At 39.0% G+C, this 16362-nt stretch overlaps 1 protein-coding gene across 2 annotated transcripts in view; it reads right to left on the bottom strand.

The window, feature by feature from the left end:
• MAPRE2 (microtubule associated protein RP/EB family member 2) overlaps window positions 1-16362 on the bottom strand; it is a 166444-nt gene that overhangs the window by 130078 nt on the left and 20004 nt on the right. For both annotated transcript variants that reach the window (NM_001143826.3, NM_001143827.3), the window contains exon 2: window positions 7840-7901. Coding sequence is in view for 1 of the 2 variants with exons in the window: in NM_001143827.3 (NP_001137299.1) it covers window positions 7840-7901 (62 nt within the window). In the remaining variant the exon portion in view is untranslated. The remainder of the gene's footprint in view (window positions 1-7839; window positions 7902-16362) is intronic.

Below are 16362 nucleotides of genomic sequence, written 5' to 3'. Positions count from 1 at the left end.
ACAAAATTAAAAAGCTCTAGTTTGTAACTTTCTACCAGTTTCTCCTATGCCTTGTCCACTGGCTGCCTCCAGGCAGTGTTTAAATCACTCAGGTCTCTTCTACCTTAAATCAACTCTTCTTCCCCACAGGTCCTGCTTTCTGTCTCCATCTTTATAGTCAGTATCTTAAGGGTTATCTAAACCTGCCCTTTCCACTTCTCAATTTCTCCCTTCCTCCTCAACTTCTTGCATCTGGCTCCCATTCTGAACATGACATTGAAATTATTCTCACCAAGATCACTAACAACCTCTTTGTTGCTAAAGCAATAGGCATTTTTAGTGTTTATTATTTTATATAACCTTTATGGGCATGTGGATTTCCTGACCCTGCTATTCTTGAAATGCTATTTTCCCTTGGCTTCCATGATAGCATACTCAACTGGTCTTTCTCTTGTGTTTCTGGCTAATCTTCATCTCTCTCACTTTCACATTGTAGTAAAATGCATATAACAAAATTTTACCAATTTAACCATTTTTAAGTGTACAGTTTGGTGACATTACATATATTAACATTCTTGTTCAACCATCACCACCATCCTTCTCCAGAATGTTTTCATTCCCCTAAACTGAAACTCTATAACTATTAAACACTAACTCTCCATTTCCCCCTCCTGTCAGCCCCTGACAACCACCATTCAACTTTCTGTCTCCATGAATTTGACTACTCTAGATAGCTCACATAAGTGGAATCATACAGTATTTGTCTTTTTGTGACTGGTGTATTTCACTTAACGCATTGGCCTCAAGATTAACCCATGTTGTAGCATGAGTCAGAATTTCCTACCTATGGTTGAACAATATTCCATTGTATGTATATACCAGATTTTGTTTATCCATTCATCTCTCAATGGACACTTGGGTTGTTTCCACCTTTTGGCGACTGTGAATGCTGCTGCTGTGAACATAGGTGTACTCTCTCTTTTTCTTAATCTACATTTCAAATATTGGTGATTTTCAAGGTTCTACTCTGGACTCCCTTTCTCATTCTATACTCTCCTTGGGCAATTTTATCTATATTTGTGGCTTACTGCTTACATGCTAGTGACCCTCAAAGCTGTAATTCATTTCTTTTTCTTCCAGAGTTCAGGTCTCAAATCCATATATATACATAAAGATATCTATATCTATATCTTTTTTAACGTCACAGGCACCCTAAGCACAACATGGGCAATACTGGGCTTCTGATTCTTGTCCTCACGTTTACAATGTGTCCTGTCTCAGTAAATAACACTCACCAAAGCCCCCACTTACTCATGCCAGACACTGGGCACTATCTTCTGCCAACCACAGCACTGCCACTTGTGGGGCTCCCAGGGATCCCACTGAACCCCAAGATCTTTAGGTGACTACTTCTCACTTTGCCATCCCTTAAAGATCAATGTGTTCTCCTCTAGAAAATCCCTCTCCATTACTTCCCCCTACATAAAATAGCACCTCCTCCGGCTGTATTCCTGTCCCCCTTTCTTTACTTCTCTTCATAGCACTGAAACAGCATTTAACACATAGCAAGCACTCACTGTGTGTTCGCTAGATGAATGAATAACTCCTTGACGTCTTCCTTCCCCAGTCCTTTCTATTAGGTTGGTGCAAAAGTAACTGTGGTTTTTTTCCTTTTTTTTGCCACCTAAATAGTACTCAAATCCACCCATTAACCTCTACCCCAGCTGTCACCACTATAGCCAGATGCTAATCATCTTCCGCCTGGTCTCTCTGCTGTCTAATCATGTCCCTTCCTGATCTTTCCTTTACACAGCCATCAGAGTGACCATTCTAAGATATAAAACAGGTAGTTTTACCTCTACGCTTAAAGGACTTCAACATCTTTTATGATACAACCAAGAGTTCTTCTTTAGCCTGGCAAGGCCCTTCCTGATCTGTCTGTCTGTCCAGCCCTACCTGTCACTATTCCCTCAATGCTGCAGCTCATTACTTAACTTCTTTCAATTTCATTAATATGCCAAATGCTTCTCTTATTTTCCCTCCAGATCTTTGAAGCTGCTACTCTTTCTGCCCAAACAATTTCCCTTTCTCTGAAGTCCTCCTCTCCCCAACACTTGGCTAGCTCTTCCTTTTCCTTCGGGTCTCAGATTAGACGCCTCGAAACTTGGAAGCCTTGTCTGGCCTCTGCACACCAGTTCTGGCTTAGCTGTTGCTGCTGAGGACTCCCACGGCATCCTGTACTTCTCCCACCACAGCACTCAGCACTCTGGAATGGAACTGCCTATTTCATTAACATTCCCTGCAGTGGGCCATATCTCCATCAGGGCTGAGAACCCTGACTGTCTCACGCAAAATCTACCCTCTGCCCCTGAACAGTGATGGAGCCATGGTAGAAGCTTAATACCTGATACATAATGCTCTAAAAAATTTTGCTTGAGACATTTCAAACCTCCAGAAGGGTAAAAAAAATCTTATAATAGTATAACAGACATTCATACCCACCAGCTATATTCAGCAATTGTTAACATTTAGCCATATTTTCTTTATCTAACCATCTACCTCTCTATATTTATTTGACACATTATTTTAAGGTAAAACACAGAGAAAACAAGTGAATTCTTAAGTCTTACCAACACATCCATAGAACATGTAAGATAAGCTACTGAAGAAAAGGAGGAAAAGGAACCATAAAGAAAATCTCTAAACCTCTACTTAAGCCTAGTTAAGTAAAACTCAGAAATGAGAACGTTAATCTCTGCACCACAGTTTATAAATGTACCCTTATTCCATCATTTAATTCTCAGAAGTCTTATAAGGCAACTTGATGAATAAACAAAAGGAATCCCATGAAGAACCTGTAGCTCTAGGAGGGAAGGGGAAAGAAAATCAATATTTCAATATTTTCTGAGTGTCCATGATGCACCCAACAATTATGTTACCTCTAATTATTCTCACAACAAACAAGATGTATTACATCTCTACTTTGAAGATGAGAGTGGAGCTTAGTGAGGTCAAGCTATTTGTCCAGCTCACAAGCTGGTATGCAGTGGTACAATCACGGCTCACTGTAGCCTTGAACTCTTGGATTCAAGGGATCTGCCTGCTTCAGCCTCCTGAATAGCTGCAACTACAGACATGGGCCACCACACTGGCTAATTGTTTTTAATTTTTATTTATTTATTTTTTTTGTAGAGAGATGAGGTCTTGCTATATTGCCCAGGCTGGTCTTGAACCCCTGGCCTCAAGTGATCCTCCAGTGTCAGCCTCCAAAAGTGTTGGGATTACAGGCGTGACCTACCATGGTCTAAATTAAAATTTTAATTAAAAATTGTAAATTAAAAAATTGTTACTGTGGTGTGAGATGGGTAAAATTTATCTTATTGCTTTTATTATACAAGGGATGCTTAGGTTAATCTAGTCCTAATTCTTACTACCTCTATGGTTTAGATGAGGCAGGGCTAATTAAAGCAGTGACCATAGAACAAGAAGAATCAGAAGTGAAGGTTCTGGTGCTGTGGTAATGCCACTGTCTAACCCTAGAAAAGTCACTCAAACTCTCCTCACTCAAGAATGTTCATCTGTAAAATGAGATGTTGGATTAGATTATCAGTGAGGTTCCTTCCAGCTGTTTTAAAGACAAAACACAAATGAAACCCACAATTTTTAGTGATTTACTTCCATCATCATCTGGTGAGGGCCAAGTTGTAGGTCTCACCGATCCCAGGCCTATCCTCCGTGCATTCTCAGTAAATGTACTCATTTAGGGGACTGTCAATGCAGGCCAACTTTAATTGGAATGTTGGTCAGTACAAGTGCAATTACAAGAAACTTCAAGCTTCCAGAAGCAGATGTTCCCACAGATTCTGACACAATAACTGATGATGAAGGCTGTGCCTTACAAAAGAGAAGCCATGGAAAAGTTTCATTCCAGGGGAAACTCGCATTCATCCCTAACCTTGTGTATCTTCTGCCAGGCAAGCTAGCCTGCTTATCACCCTTATAATGATTTTTTAAAAAATATTCTTTACACTATTAGATAGTATGCTTTAAGAGCTCTGCCTTGGTCACCTCTATATCCCTAGCTTTTACCATAAAACTTGGCACAGAGTTGGTGATCAATACATGTTTATGGAATGAATAGCTAATCTCACCATCCCTGAGTATTCCACACCAACTCACCTTCATGGCTCAGCTCAGATGTCATCTCTACCTCCCCCTCCCCAAACTCCCATTATACTGTAACTGTATTTCTCCTATGGTGCATCTTATTTTCTTACTAAAGTCGTTTACATATATCTTAGTTCCCCAGTAAAGTCAAATGCTCTGAGATAGAAGCTATCTCTTGCTCACTATTGAAAAACTACAATACCTAGCTGATAGTAGGCACAAAATAAATGTAGAATGAGCACATCATTCATATATATATATGTACACACACACACGTGCATGCACACACACACACACCCCAAAACACTCAGCACAGTGCTTTACAGTTAGTAATCATTCAGTAAATACTATTGAATAAATTAAATGCTTTCTGAAAATGTTATGGTGAAACTAGTACCCTAAAACTATAAATGTTTGTAAATTATTCCAAATCTCTGGGAAAAATATAGTAAACTAGATTAAAAGTCATAAAAATGGTCTGTCCTTGACAGATAATCCCACTTCTGGGATTGTGACCTTAGAAAATAGATGAATAGACACAAACCAAACGAAACCAAACCAACAACAAGATCTGTATAAAAATTTAGCATAGCATTTTTTATAGTGAAAATGGGAAGATAGTAAGAATTAAAGCACATACTATGGCATGTTGATATAACATTATACTGCAATTCCAATAATAGTTCTGATGACCCATGAAAGTAAAAGATGCTGTGACTCACAGTAGGTAAAATACAAAGTTCACACTCATTATGATATGCACTGTGGAAAATTAGGAATGCCCGTGAGAAGACCAAATATGCAAAAATGGAAAAATAGTTATTTTAGGATGGTGTTGTTATGGGTGATTTTCTCCTCTAGGTTTTCTTTAAGTGTATTATGTTACTTTTCATTAATATAATAAAAAATTTGGTATAGTCGACATGAACTTTTCCTTAACGTGACTGATTATATTTCCCAAAGATAACTATTTAGTGAGGATCAAAGCATAAAATTAAATTGCCTACTAATGAGCTATTGCTTCAGTATTTAACACTAAGACTCAGGTGTCACCTGAGTCTTATACATCATGAGGTATAAAGTACAAGCATGTTGTGTGTGGTGCAGGAACAGATTTGGATGAGAAACAAGAAGTGACACCCAGTAAAGGAATCTCAGGAACCACTTAATAGCAGATAGGATTACTCATTCAAGGAAATGATCAATACAGCTTTCCCTAGGGGATTGGTTTCAGAACCTTCCTTCCCCCACAAGAATCCATTCATGCTCAAGTCCCCCAGTTGGCCCACTGAATCCAGCAATATGAAAAGCTGGCTGCCTTTGGCTTCATATACCGATGAATACTGTATTTTCAGTTTACTTTTGGTTGCGGATCTGGAATCCACGGATATGGAAGTTTGACTGCATTTATTGAAAAAAAAAAATCACTTATAAGTAAGCCCGTGCAGTTCAAACCCATGTTGTTCAAGGGTCAACTGTACTAGTTCCTGAAAGGGTTAAATAAAGGAGGGTGCAACCCAGAAGGGATATAGAGAGAAGGGAGAGGGACTAATGATGGTTCTCTCTTTGGTTCTCTGCCATCTCCTACCAACTTAACCCATCTCTGTTATCTATCATGGATGCGCAAATGATGGCCTGCAGGCCAAGTATAGTCCATTGCCTGTTTTTGTAAATAGCTTTACTGAACACAGCCAAGGCCATCTCTTTATGTGTTATCTTTGTCTGTTTTCACACTACAATGAGTTGAACAGTTTAGACTGAGACTTGTATGACCAGCAAGGCAAAAAATATTTACAATTTGGCTCTTTAAAAACACATTTGTCCCATACCCCCATATATAAGGAGATTTAGAAAGCAACACCCTATTTAGATAGTGGGCCACCTTTTCCTGTTACTTTTTCTTCACCAGCCTGGAAGATAGGATGATCATATAATTTATCATCCAAAATGAAACGTTTTGAGGGTGAAAGGCAGTGCTAACTAGACTATTTTCCAGGAACACAGACTTGAACCAGGATTGCCTCATACAGACCCGACATATGGACCACCTACTATAAGGGCTAGCAGTACAAGATCAGTTTTCAAAGGGCACTTATGATCCGCAGCTATAGACACAGAAAGCTTAGGTGGTTTCTCTTCCTGGTTCTTCCTATTTCTAATGCCCTCAGGTACCTTTCCACTGAGCCCTGTCCCAACTCTGTCCTAGAGCCTGCTCTGGCCCCTGAATATTCCAGCTGTTGGAACATCATGCAGGGTACCATATCTCCACTTTGTTTGCTTGTTTTAGATGGAGTCTTGCTCTGTCACCCAAGCTGGAGTGCAGTGGCACGATCTTGGCTCACTGCAACCTCTGCCTCCTGGGTTCAAGTGATTCTTGTGCCTCAGCCACCCGAGTAGCTGGTATTACAGGTATGCACCACAATGCCCAGCTAGTTTTTATATTTTTAGTAGAGACAGGGTTTTGCCATGTTGGCCAGAGTGGTCTTTAACTCCTAACCTCTGGTAATGTGCTCACCTCAGCCTACAAAAGTGCTCCATATTTCCACTTTCACTAGAGCAACAGGAGAAAACATCTATTCTTCCACACTAAATAAACTAATTGTTCCAAGTCAATACAGTGAATTTTATACCTGCAAATTTTAATATCAAGACAACTTCTTAAAATGCTATTAAGTGGAAGAATTTCAGTTTCTCTTCTCAAATATTTAAAAAGTGACCACCAGTCATAGCATTTATTACAATGAGGCCCCAAAACAAATATGGTATATTATTCATGATTTGAGCTTTTAATAGTCACCATTACTGTTTAGAGAATTACTATTCAAGAATGAGGTTTCTAATTTTATCATTCCAGAATTTTTTTTTGAAAGAAGAAAACACATACGTCCCCACACACTTTTTTTTTAAGTAAAAATGTTTGATGCTGTGGAGAAATAGGAGTAAAATAAAAGATGTTTAGAGTACCTTTGATGAAATATAGGATGTTACACCACACTTTGTGAGACTATTCTGTGTGAACAATAATAGCTTGTAGCTTGGGACCTCTCTGAATGGCTTTCCAAACATTGCCATCTGGTGGAATTTCAGTTAATTGTTCCTTTGTTCTAAGGGCTCCTGGAGGTGACTCTTGAAGACATTACTTACAGAGACTTAGAGTAATAGTTCGAAATAACTGAAGGTCAAAATGATTGCATCTCAAAGACAAATCCCAGACAGAAAAAAATGAGGCTTTCCAGGTTCGTCATCTCTGTCACAGACATGCTCGCACGCTCGCACGCTCTCACTCTGTCTCTCTTTCTGCCTCTCAAAGCCAACAGAGTGGCTTTCTTGATTCTTAACAATATCAAATAAAAATCATTTATTTATAAATAGCGATGTCATGAGTTCATTTTGACCATATCTTGATATTCTACCCTCCCCACCTATCATAAGATTTTTCAAAATTAAACTTTAATTAATTGGCTTGACCATTTTTGGAGGAATTACTAATAGCAATTAATTAGCCCTTCGTACACTTGGGAAATGGAATTTGATTTGAAAAATAGTGTTTTAAAAGAGCATATTTACTCAAATATCGGCTTTAATTGTGTACTGGAATTTTGAAAATAAATTTGTTACAATGACAATATTACTACTCACTTTAAATTAATTTTTAAGCAAGGAGTCATGCAACGTAATTTATATAAACCTTACCTTGAGCATCCAGGCTTTCTCCCTGGCTGTTGAAATGAACTGTTCCTCTGGGAAACAGGACACTGGGATAGTAAAAATGGAAGAAAAAAAGAGTGCAAGCATTTAATATGATGAAAATATGGAAGCAAAGAGTTATAATTTAGTTTAGTGGGTGTGGCCAGCAATGGAAAAAATTAAAGAAAAAATACACGCCAAATATCCAAAAGTCAATCAATCTTACCATATGAAAGTGATTAAGTCAGCCAGACAATAGAATTATACTCTCAATATATATTATTAGATCAATTCTTATATTGATTAATAGTTGATAAAAATTTAGTATAATGTCAGTCCTATGAAAATATTTTTTCTTTTGTTTTTCCCCTGCCCTGATAGTCTGATGTGACGGGAATCATGTCGGCGGATAACCCCAAGGAGCAGTGCCTCTAGTGGGGTATCAAATACCAACATCAATTAAAGTACTGAATTCCCCAAACTTAGGTTTAACCAGGTTTTATATTTAGTATCAACACAGGCTTTTTCTAGTCAAAAAGATTTTTAATTTCAACAGGATAAGCATTATAAACGACTTTAAAATGTACATACCAATAAGCAGTAATTTAGTAATTTACTTTCTTTTCTTTTTTTTTTTTTTTGGAGATGGAGTCTCGCTCTGTCGCCCAGGCTGGAGTGCAGTGGCGCGATCTCGGCTCACTGCAGGCTCTGCCTCCTGGGCTCACGCCATTCTCCTTCCTCAGCCTCCCGAGTAGCTGGGACTACAGGCGCCCGCCACCATGCCCGGCTAATTTTTCTGTATTTTTAGTAGAGACGGTGTTTCACCGTGTTAGCCAGGGTGGTCTCGATCTCCTGACCTCGCGATCCGCCTGCCTTGGCTTCCCAAAGTGCTGGGATTACAGGCGTAAGCCACCGTGCACAGCCAATTGACTTTCTTTATATGAATTACCTATTTATTTTCAAAATATGCTTTGACTAAATGAGGCAGTAAGACAGTAAACTGATGAGGGACAAATCCAATTCTGGAGGCTAAGAAATGGAGGAGTCTGAGTTTGCTTTGAGAATCAAGTGTTTGGGGGATGAACGGTTACGGAGGAGGTTGCTATGTTTCAACTGGATGCTGCTATGAATGACCTGACTTGCATATACATATGAGCCTTAACTCTCTTCCCCACTTTCCACCTAAGCCCTACATTGCTCTTCTGTGTTTTCTATGACCATTTCAGAAATGACTTGGTGTTTATTTAGCTTAAAATCATTGTGTAAAAATAAAATATTTGTGATAGATCCAACATGATGTGATTATTCCGAGACACAGGTCTGGAGATGTTGCTGGTAGAATTATTATTTTTTTTAATTAAAAGGGAGGAGGTGGCATTTTATAGTTTTTCTCTAAGGGAAAAAGGAGATGTTTAGTTAAAAAAAGGTGAAAAACAAAATGGCAAGAGTCAAGAGAATAAAAGTAAAGGTGACAACTGAATTGTTATACTACTCAGTGAAGGATCTCAAAAATAATTAATAAACTTGGGCTTGTTTAAAAATCAGAAAACTTAACATGAATGGTGTACATAGTGTCAATAACTAAATTAAGATATATTGACTACAATCTAAGTTTTTTCCTTCAGATACAATAAGTTGAATTTCCTTACATATTTTGCAGCAGAATTTAATTTTACGAATACGTTATATCTTTCTACAACTGAATGATAGTTGATAAACCTAAATTCAGATTTTAACAATATTGGTTCCCATCCATGTCAGTTTCTATTCTTAAGTCCTTCAATTTTCCAGAAAGTTCAACTGAATCAGAATGAAATTTTCATTTATCTACTTTATTTAATAGTACCCAGTAGCTGTGCAAGCCACTGGCCACCAAGCTACGAAGCAGGAACATAAGGTTTCTAGTTTATCTATAAAGCAGATAATTAGCCCTTAGAAAATTCAGAATTGTCTGTATACAATTGGCCTTTTTCTATTTTCTGACAACGGTCCATTGCTAGGTTTTCCAGCAGCCGCAATGGATCAGTTTGGAGAAGAATGACATTATTTATTGAACACCTTATGCACCAGTCATTTCACATATTTTATCTAATTTAATCCTCAAAACTATCTTATTATAAATGAAGAAACAGAGGCTCAGAGTAGTGGGGCAATTTGCCCAATATCATGCAGCTAGAAAGGGATAGATTTTAATTGAGTCTGGCAGACCAGTATCTATCTCCTTTCTCTTTCATCTGTATGTCCACACTAAAATACCTTAATAGCAGTCATTTGACATAGATTCGAAATACCTGGAGAGCTTTCACTCCATCATCATAAGTTCAGGACCTAGCATGTGGTAGGTGCTCAAGAAGTCCCAGCCTTGCAAGGATAGAAGTCTAGCCTTCCCATGCAGCCTTTGCTTGTGGGGATAGGAGTGAGGCAAAGCTTGCTCCTGCTGTGTTTGGCAGGAGTAGAGCTCTCATTGTCTGCAAGTCTCACACTTTACGTAAAAACGAACTCAAAATGGATCATGGCATAAATGTGAAATGTAAGACTACAAAACTTATAGAAAAAACAAAAAACAGGAGAAAATCTTTAGGATCGGGGCTGGCAAACTGTTCTCAGCCTTGACACCAAAAACACAATCTGGAAGAGGAAAAATTGGTAAATTGGACTTCATCAAAATTAAAAACTTTTGCCCATGTGAAGCAGATGTAAATACAAGATATAAACTAGAAGAAAGTATTTGCAAGCCCAATAACTGACAAAGAACTAGTGTCTAAAATAAAGAATTCTCAAAATGCAACCAAATAAACCAACTTAGTCGGAAAATGGGAAAAAGATATGAACAGACATTTAACTGAAGAGGATATACATATACGGAAAGCAAATAATATTAAATGGTATACAACATTATTAGCCTATAGATAAAAGAAAATTAAAACTACATGAGACATCACAACATACCTATCAGAATGGCTAAAATAAAAAATAGCGACAACACCAAATGTTGGCGAGGGTTTGAAGAAACTAGATCACTCATATATTGCTTCTGAGAATGTAAAATGGTAGAGCTACTGTGGAAAACAGTTTTGTAGTTTTAAAAGCTAAACATGCAACTACCATATCACCCAGCAATTGCTCACTTTGGCGTATACCCCAGAGAAATGAAAATTTGTTTATAGCAGTTTTATACATAGTAGCCCCAAACTGGAAACCACCCAGGTATCTTTCAACAGGTTAATGGTTAAACAAACCGTGCTGCATCCAAACTTCAGAATACTACCCAGCAATAAGAAGGAACCAACTATTGATAGAAAGTAACAACCTGAATGAATCTCCAGAGAATTAGGTTGAGTGAGAAAAGAAAGTCCTTAAAAGTTATATACTGCATAATTCCATTTATCTAACATTTTTAAAATGGGAAAACTATAGAAATGGAGCACAGATTAGTGGTTGCCAGGGGTTAAGAGGAGGGGGTGAGGGCTGGAGGGAAATGAGTGTGATTATAAAAGGCAACACAAATATTTTTGTGGTGATGGAAATGTTCTGAACCTTGATTGTGTTGACATCAATATCCTGGTTGTGACATTGTGCTGTAAGTTTGCAAGATGCTACCATGGCAGATTAGATAAAGAATATATGGGATCTCTCTATATTATTTCTTACAATTACATCTTACTGTACAATCATCTCAAAATATATATATTTTTAAATCAGGTAATTGGACAGGAACTAGAATTGAGCAAGATACATTAGTTTTATTTTCTTACCTTTTCAAAGAAAAGCAAAAGCCCCAAAGCAGTGGGCAAGATGGACCAGGAGTTTGCTCCATTTTGCACAGATCCAAGAAAAAAAAAACTCACCCACTAACTTAGCATTCAGAAACCACTGCCAATGTTCTGCTATCCAATGTTGCCTATGTTGGAATTTTCTTTGCTGTTATTCCCTTCTCCCTCGTGTACCTTCTTAATCCATTAAAATTCACCATACACATATTCAAAACCAGAAGTGAGTTTGAAATAGCAGCTTGATACATCACGTATCTTTTTTTTTTTTTTTTTGAGACAAAGTCTTGCTCTGTTGCCCAGGCTGGAGTGCAATGGCTCCATCTCTGCTGACTGCAACTTCCGTCTCCAGGGTTCAAGCGATTCTCGTGCCTCAACCTCCCGCGTAGCTGGGATTACAGGCATGTGCCACCACACCCACTAATTTTTGTATTTTTTTAGTAGTGATGGGGTTTCACCATGTTGGCCAGGCTGGTCTTGAACTCCTGGCCTCAAGTGAGGCTGCCTGCCTCGGCCTCCCAAAGTGCTGGGATAACAGGTGTGAGCCATGGCACCCAGCTGATATATCCTGTATTTTTTAACTTATCTCTCATACCCTTAAGTTCACACTATCTAGGAATTTTCAAAATCTTATAAAATGTCCACATTTATTTGCATAGAAATGGAATATTTAACATTTATTTTTACAAATGGGGTCTTGCAGTGATGCCCAAGCTAGAGTACAAGAGGCTATTCACAGGCACAATCACAATGTACTGCACCCTCAACCTCCTGGGATCCAGTGATCCACCTGCCTCCGGATTGATCTCAAGTCACTGGGACTACAGGTACGTGTATGGAGTGGAATTTTATCCTTTGTGGTACTATTTTATGGATGACAAGGCAGGTGTTCTGTATTCAAAACTGGACCATACACTAAATAACGACAGAATTTTAATCGCCAACACACACAGAGGAACTTGCAAAATCCCCCTTCGCGTTTGGAAAGATCATACTGACTTTTATTCTTTAGCCATTGTGAGCACTAGGGCAGCTCCTCAGAAATGAGCAGCCATAAGCCAGCTGCTTTCTCTGGCTTATGGCTCTGCTTGTTTGTTGGTTTTGTTTTCATTGAAAAGACCAAATATCTTTGTTAGGATAAGAGTCATGACTCTTTAACAAAGCACATTCTCTGTTTCTACAAAGGTCCATTTTCCCCATCCTCTAGAAATGTCAAATCCTCTTTCTTTGACAAACAAATCCAGAATTCCAGCATCCCATGTCCAAGGCATAGCAGCAGAACCTCTATCCTAGCTAGGGAGTCCCCCCATCCTCTGGCAAAGACTGCTACTTTCATGTCTGGCCACAAAATCTACAGGAACATGAAAGATATATCAGAATGAAAAATATGTTTGTAAAAATATTTCAAATCATGCCATGCCATCGAAAGAAGATTTCATTCTTTCTTCATTGCTATGTGTTTAACCAGTGAGGCTTCTGGTCAACACAAGGTTAAAGCATCCTCCTCACAAAGAGACAGCATTACTACCTCCCCAGCTGTTCACAGCTTTTCCAAGAAGAGAACACTACTGGGGCCTGAGCCCAAGTTTTCATCTAGGGAGTTTACTAAGCTGTCTTTGGATCTCCAGAATAAGCTGTATCCTGAATTCCAAACTCCCCATGGCCACTTTGAGATATTGAATCCCTTCAGTTGTAGATCACATTCTTTAGTGTGGGAGGTCCATAGCTTTCTAGGAATAAAGCAGCTTGCAGCATTAGCAGAAGGTCACAGGCCATTAATCCTGAGGTGGAGCCTACTAGATATTAATCTTTCAGAGAGCTCTGCCTCCGCCGCCACGCACTGCCTCAATTAATGGTCTTGGGTTGGGCTCAGGGCCTTCTCTAGGGGCAGCAGAGGGGAGGCCCAGACTGCCTCCCCTCTCCTGTGCAACTTCCCCAGGGCAAGACTGCCAGGAAGCACAGAGCTGAGCACACAACAGGGAAACCAAAAACCAAATGAGCGTATCTGGCAAGTAAAGGAGGTCAGATTACACTGAATCTTGGGTTAAGTCTGGTACAACTCATTCTTCTCCTTCAGAAAGACAAACTACCAAATGACCCATATTGTATATTTAAGGACTTCAAAAAAATTATAGCTCACTGCTAAATGGATTTGGGTGGTATATATTAAGAATGGTAATGATGTTATAAACTGATGGTCATATGATTTAGGTTTCTATAAAAATAAAAGATAATCCCCAGAAAATACCTAAAATGATAGTTACAATAAAATAAAAATTCAGTTCTTTTCGTACAAATGTAGCCTAGCCCTTTCTTCTTGGAATCATCATTTATCCATCTGCTACTTTCCATGTGAATCAGAATTAAAATATTTTTTAAGATTGCCCTTTCTATTTTAGAATAGAATATTTATAGTGCTCAATGTACAAAAGTAAAATTCTTTCAAAAAATTACATGAGACAAAACTACATATATGGGAAATAACACATATATTATAGTTCTGTAAAGTGTTTCTATAATTACATTATTTTCACTTATCCTTTTATCCATTTTTAATCAGATATTTTTGAAAATAGAGTCGTAAGCATAGAATAGCTCCTCTCCTCATGTGTGCAATTAATAATGAAATGTGGGAGAATGCATGTTACGTGGCAGAATGCATGTTACGTGTCAAAGTAGCACAGAGAGAGGTTTCATTTCAGAGCCCAGGGTTCAAGTTTAGTGTTTGGGTCATAGTGGAAACTAAAGCCCTGCTTTCCATGCTTGCTGTTTTTATAGTCTGTAATTCCTTTGACCATGCAAAGAAGGAACACAGTAACATACTAAGGGTTACATGTGAAATCTAAGTAAGACTGACAGTAGCAAAAGGGCTGAAAAGACATTGGGTATCAAGGGCTACTGTGACCTTTTGCCCTGTATTGTGCTCTGTGGAAATCTTTTCAAATTATATTTTAACATTTTTGGCCAAGTCCGGAGTGAGACTCTGTCCAAAAAAAAAAAAAAAAAAAAAAAAAAAATTGCAACTTCGGCCAGGCTCAGTGGCTCACGCCTGTAATCCCAGCACTTTCAGAGGCCAAGTTGGACAGATCCCCTGAGGTTAAGAGTTCGAGACTAGCCTGGCCAATATGGAGAAACCCCGTCTCTACTAAAAATAAAAAAATTAGGCCAGGCACGGTGGCTCATGCCTGTAATCCCAGCACTTTGGGAGGCCGAGGCGGGCAGATCACGAGGTCAGGAGATCGAGACCATCCTGGCTAACACGGTGAAACCCCGTCTCTACTAAAAATATAAAAAAATTAGCGGGGTGTGGTGGCGGGCACCTGTAGTCCCAGCTACTTGGGAGGCTGAGGCAGGAGAATGGCATGAACCTGGGAGGCAGAGCTTGCAGTGAGCCGAGATGGCGCCACTGCACTCCAGCCTGGGCAACAGAGTGAGACTCCATCTCAAAAAAAAAAAAAAAAAAAAAGAGAGAGAAAAATGCTGGTAAGTGAATGGGACTTGTAGAGACCTGTGGGAATGTTAGCATAGCCTCCGTCCATAAGTTTCCTGTTTGAGCCAATGTGAAGACCCCAGGATGCTGACATAACAACAAACAGCCTTGCTCTTGGGCTCCCTGCTGTGGGGTCTGCCTTACAAAGGAATCTACTTTCAAAAGGTTTGGGGGCCACATCAGTAACTAAATTCCTTGATAGAAAAAAAATTCATGCTAAATTCCACTCAACTGGGAAATATCCCAGTGAAGTTGTGGAGCCGATACCCCAATTACACTGTCAGGGATTAAAACAACTACTGGGGAAATCAATATATTAATGGAAATAAATCCAGGTAACATATACAACTTGAAAATATTTCTTAAAGGCTTTTCCTTTAGTAATTATACTTGTTTATAGCTCTTAGTTTTGCAAAATTATTTTATATATATCACATCACCCAGATCTTGAAAGTGTAATTCATTTTGATTGTTTATTTGTTTGAGACGGAGTCTCACTCTTGTAGCCCAGCCTGGAGTGCAGTGGTGCAATTTCAGCTCACTGCAACCTCAGCCTTCTGGGTTCAAGAGATTCTCCTGCCTCAGCCTCCCGAATAGCTGGGATTACAGGTGCCTGCCACCACGCCAGGCTAATTTTTGTATTTTTAGTAGAGACGGGGTTTCACCATGTTGGCCAGGCTAGTCTCGAACTCTTTACCTCAGGGGATCCGCCCGCCTCAGCCTCCCAAAGTGCTGGGATTACAAGTGTTAGCCACTGTGCCCAGCTGAAATGGTAATTCTTTTATTACTTCTTCTAGAGGTTCACTCTGCTTGCCTTTTAGTTAGCTGCTTTTCTCTCCTTATGCTTTTTCCTGAAGAGCTCTCATGTGGTACCAAGTTGAAGAGTCAGAGCTCTAATTGTGCTTCTCAAAGTTTTTAAAAATCATCTTCCTCACTCCTCCTCCCCACTCACAAGGAGTCTTTGTATCCCCTAAGGATGCTAAGAAATCCTTTAGGATCCCCTAAATGCTATGGAATAAGATTTTGTCCATAAAGTTTAACCTTTGGAGGCCACAAGCCATTGCAATATCCAATTTTCATTCCCCTTGAGAGTTTATGCTGTAATCCATTGGAGCAAACAGGCATTATTGAGCATCACTATTTGTCAGGAGAGGTAGGGATACAAAAATGAATAAGGAGGATACAAAAATGAATAAGGGATACAAAAATGAATAATGAATGAATGTTGCAAGTTGTAAACCTCCCACCCCCCTTTTTTAAGCATAACGC

Source organism: Homo sapiens, chromosome 18 (assembly GCF_000001405.40).
Source record: "Homo sapiens chromosome 18, GRCh38.p14 Primary Assembly".
NCBI classification, from domain to species: domain Eukaryota; kingdom Metazoa; phylum Chordata; class Mammalia; order Primates; family Hominidae; genus Homo; species Homo sapiens.
The sequence above is the reverse complement of the archived record's forward strand: the minus strand, read 5'-3'. Positions and strand labels throughout refer to the sequence as shown.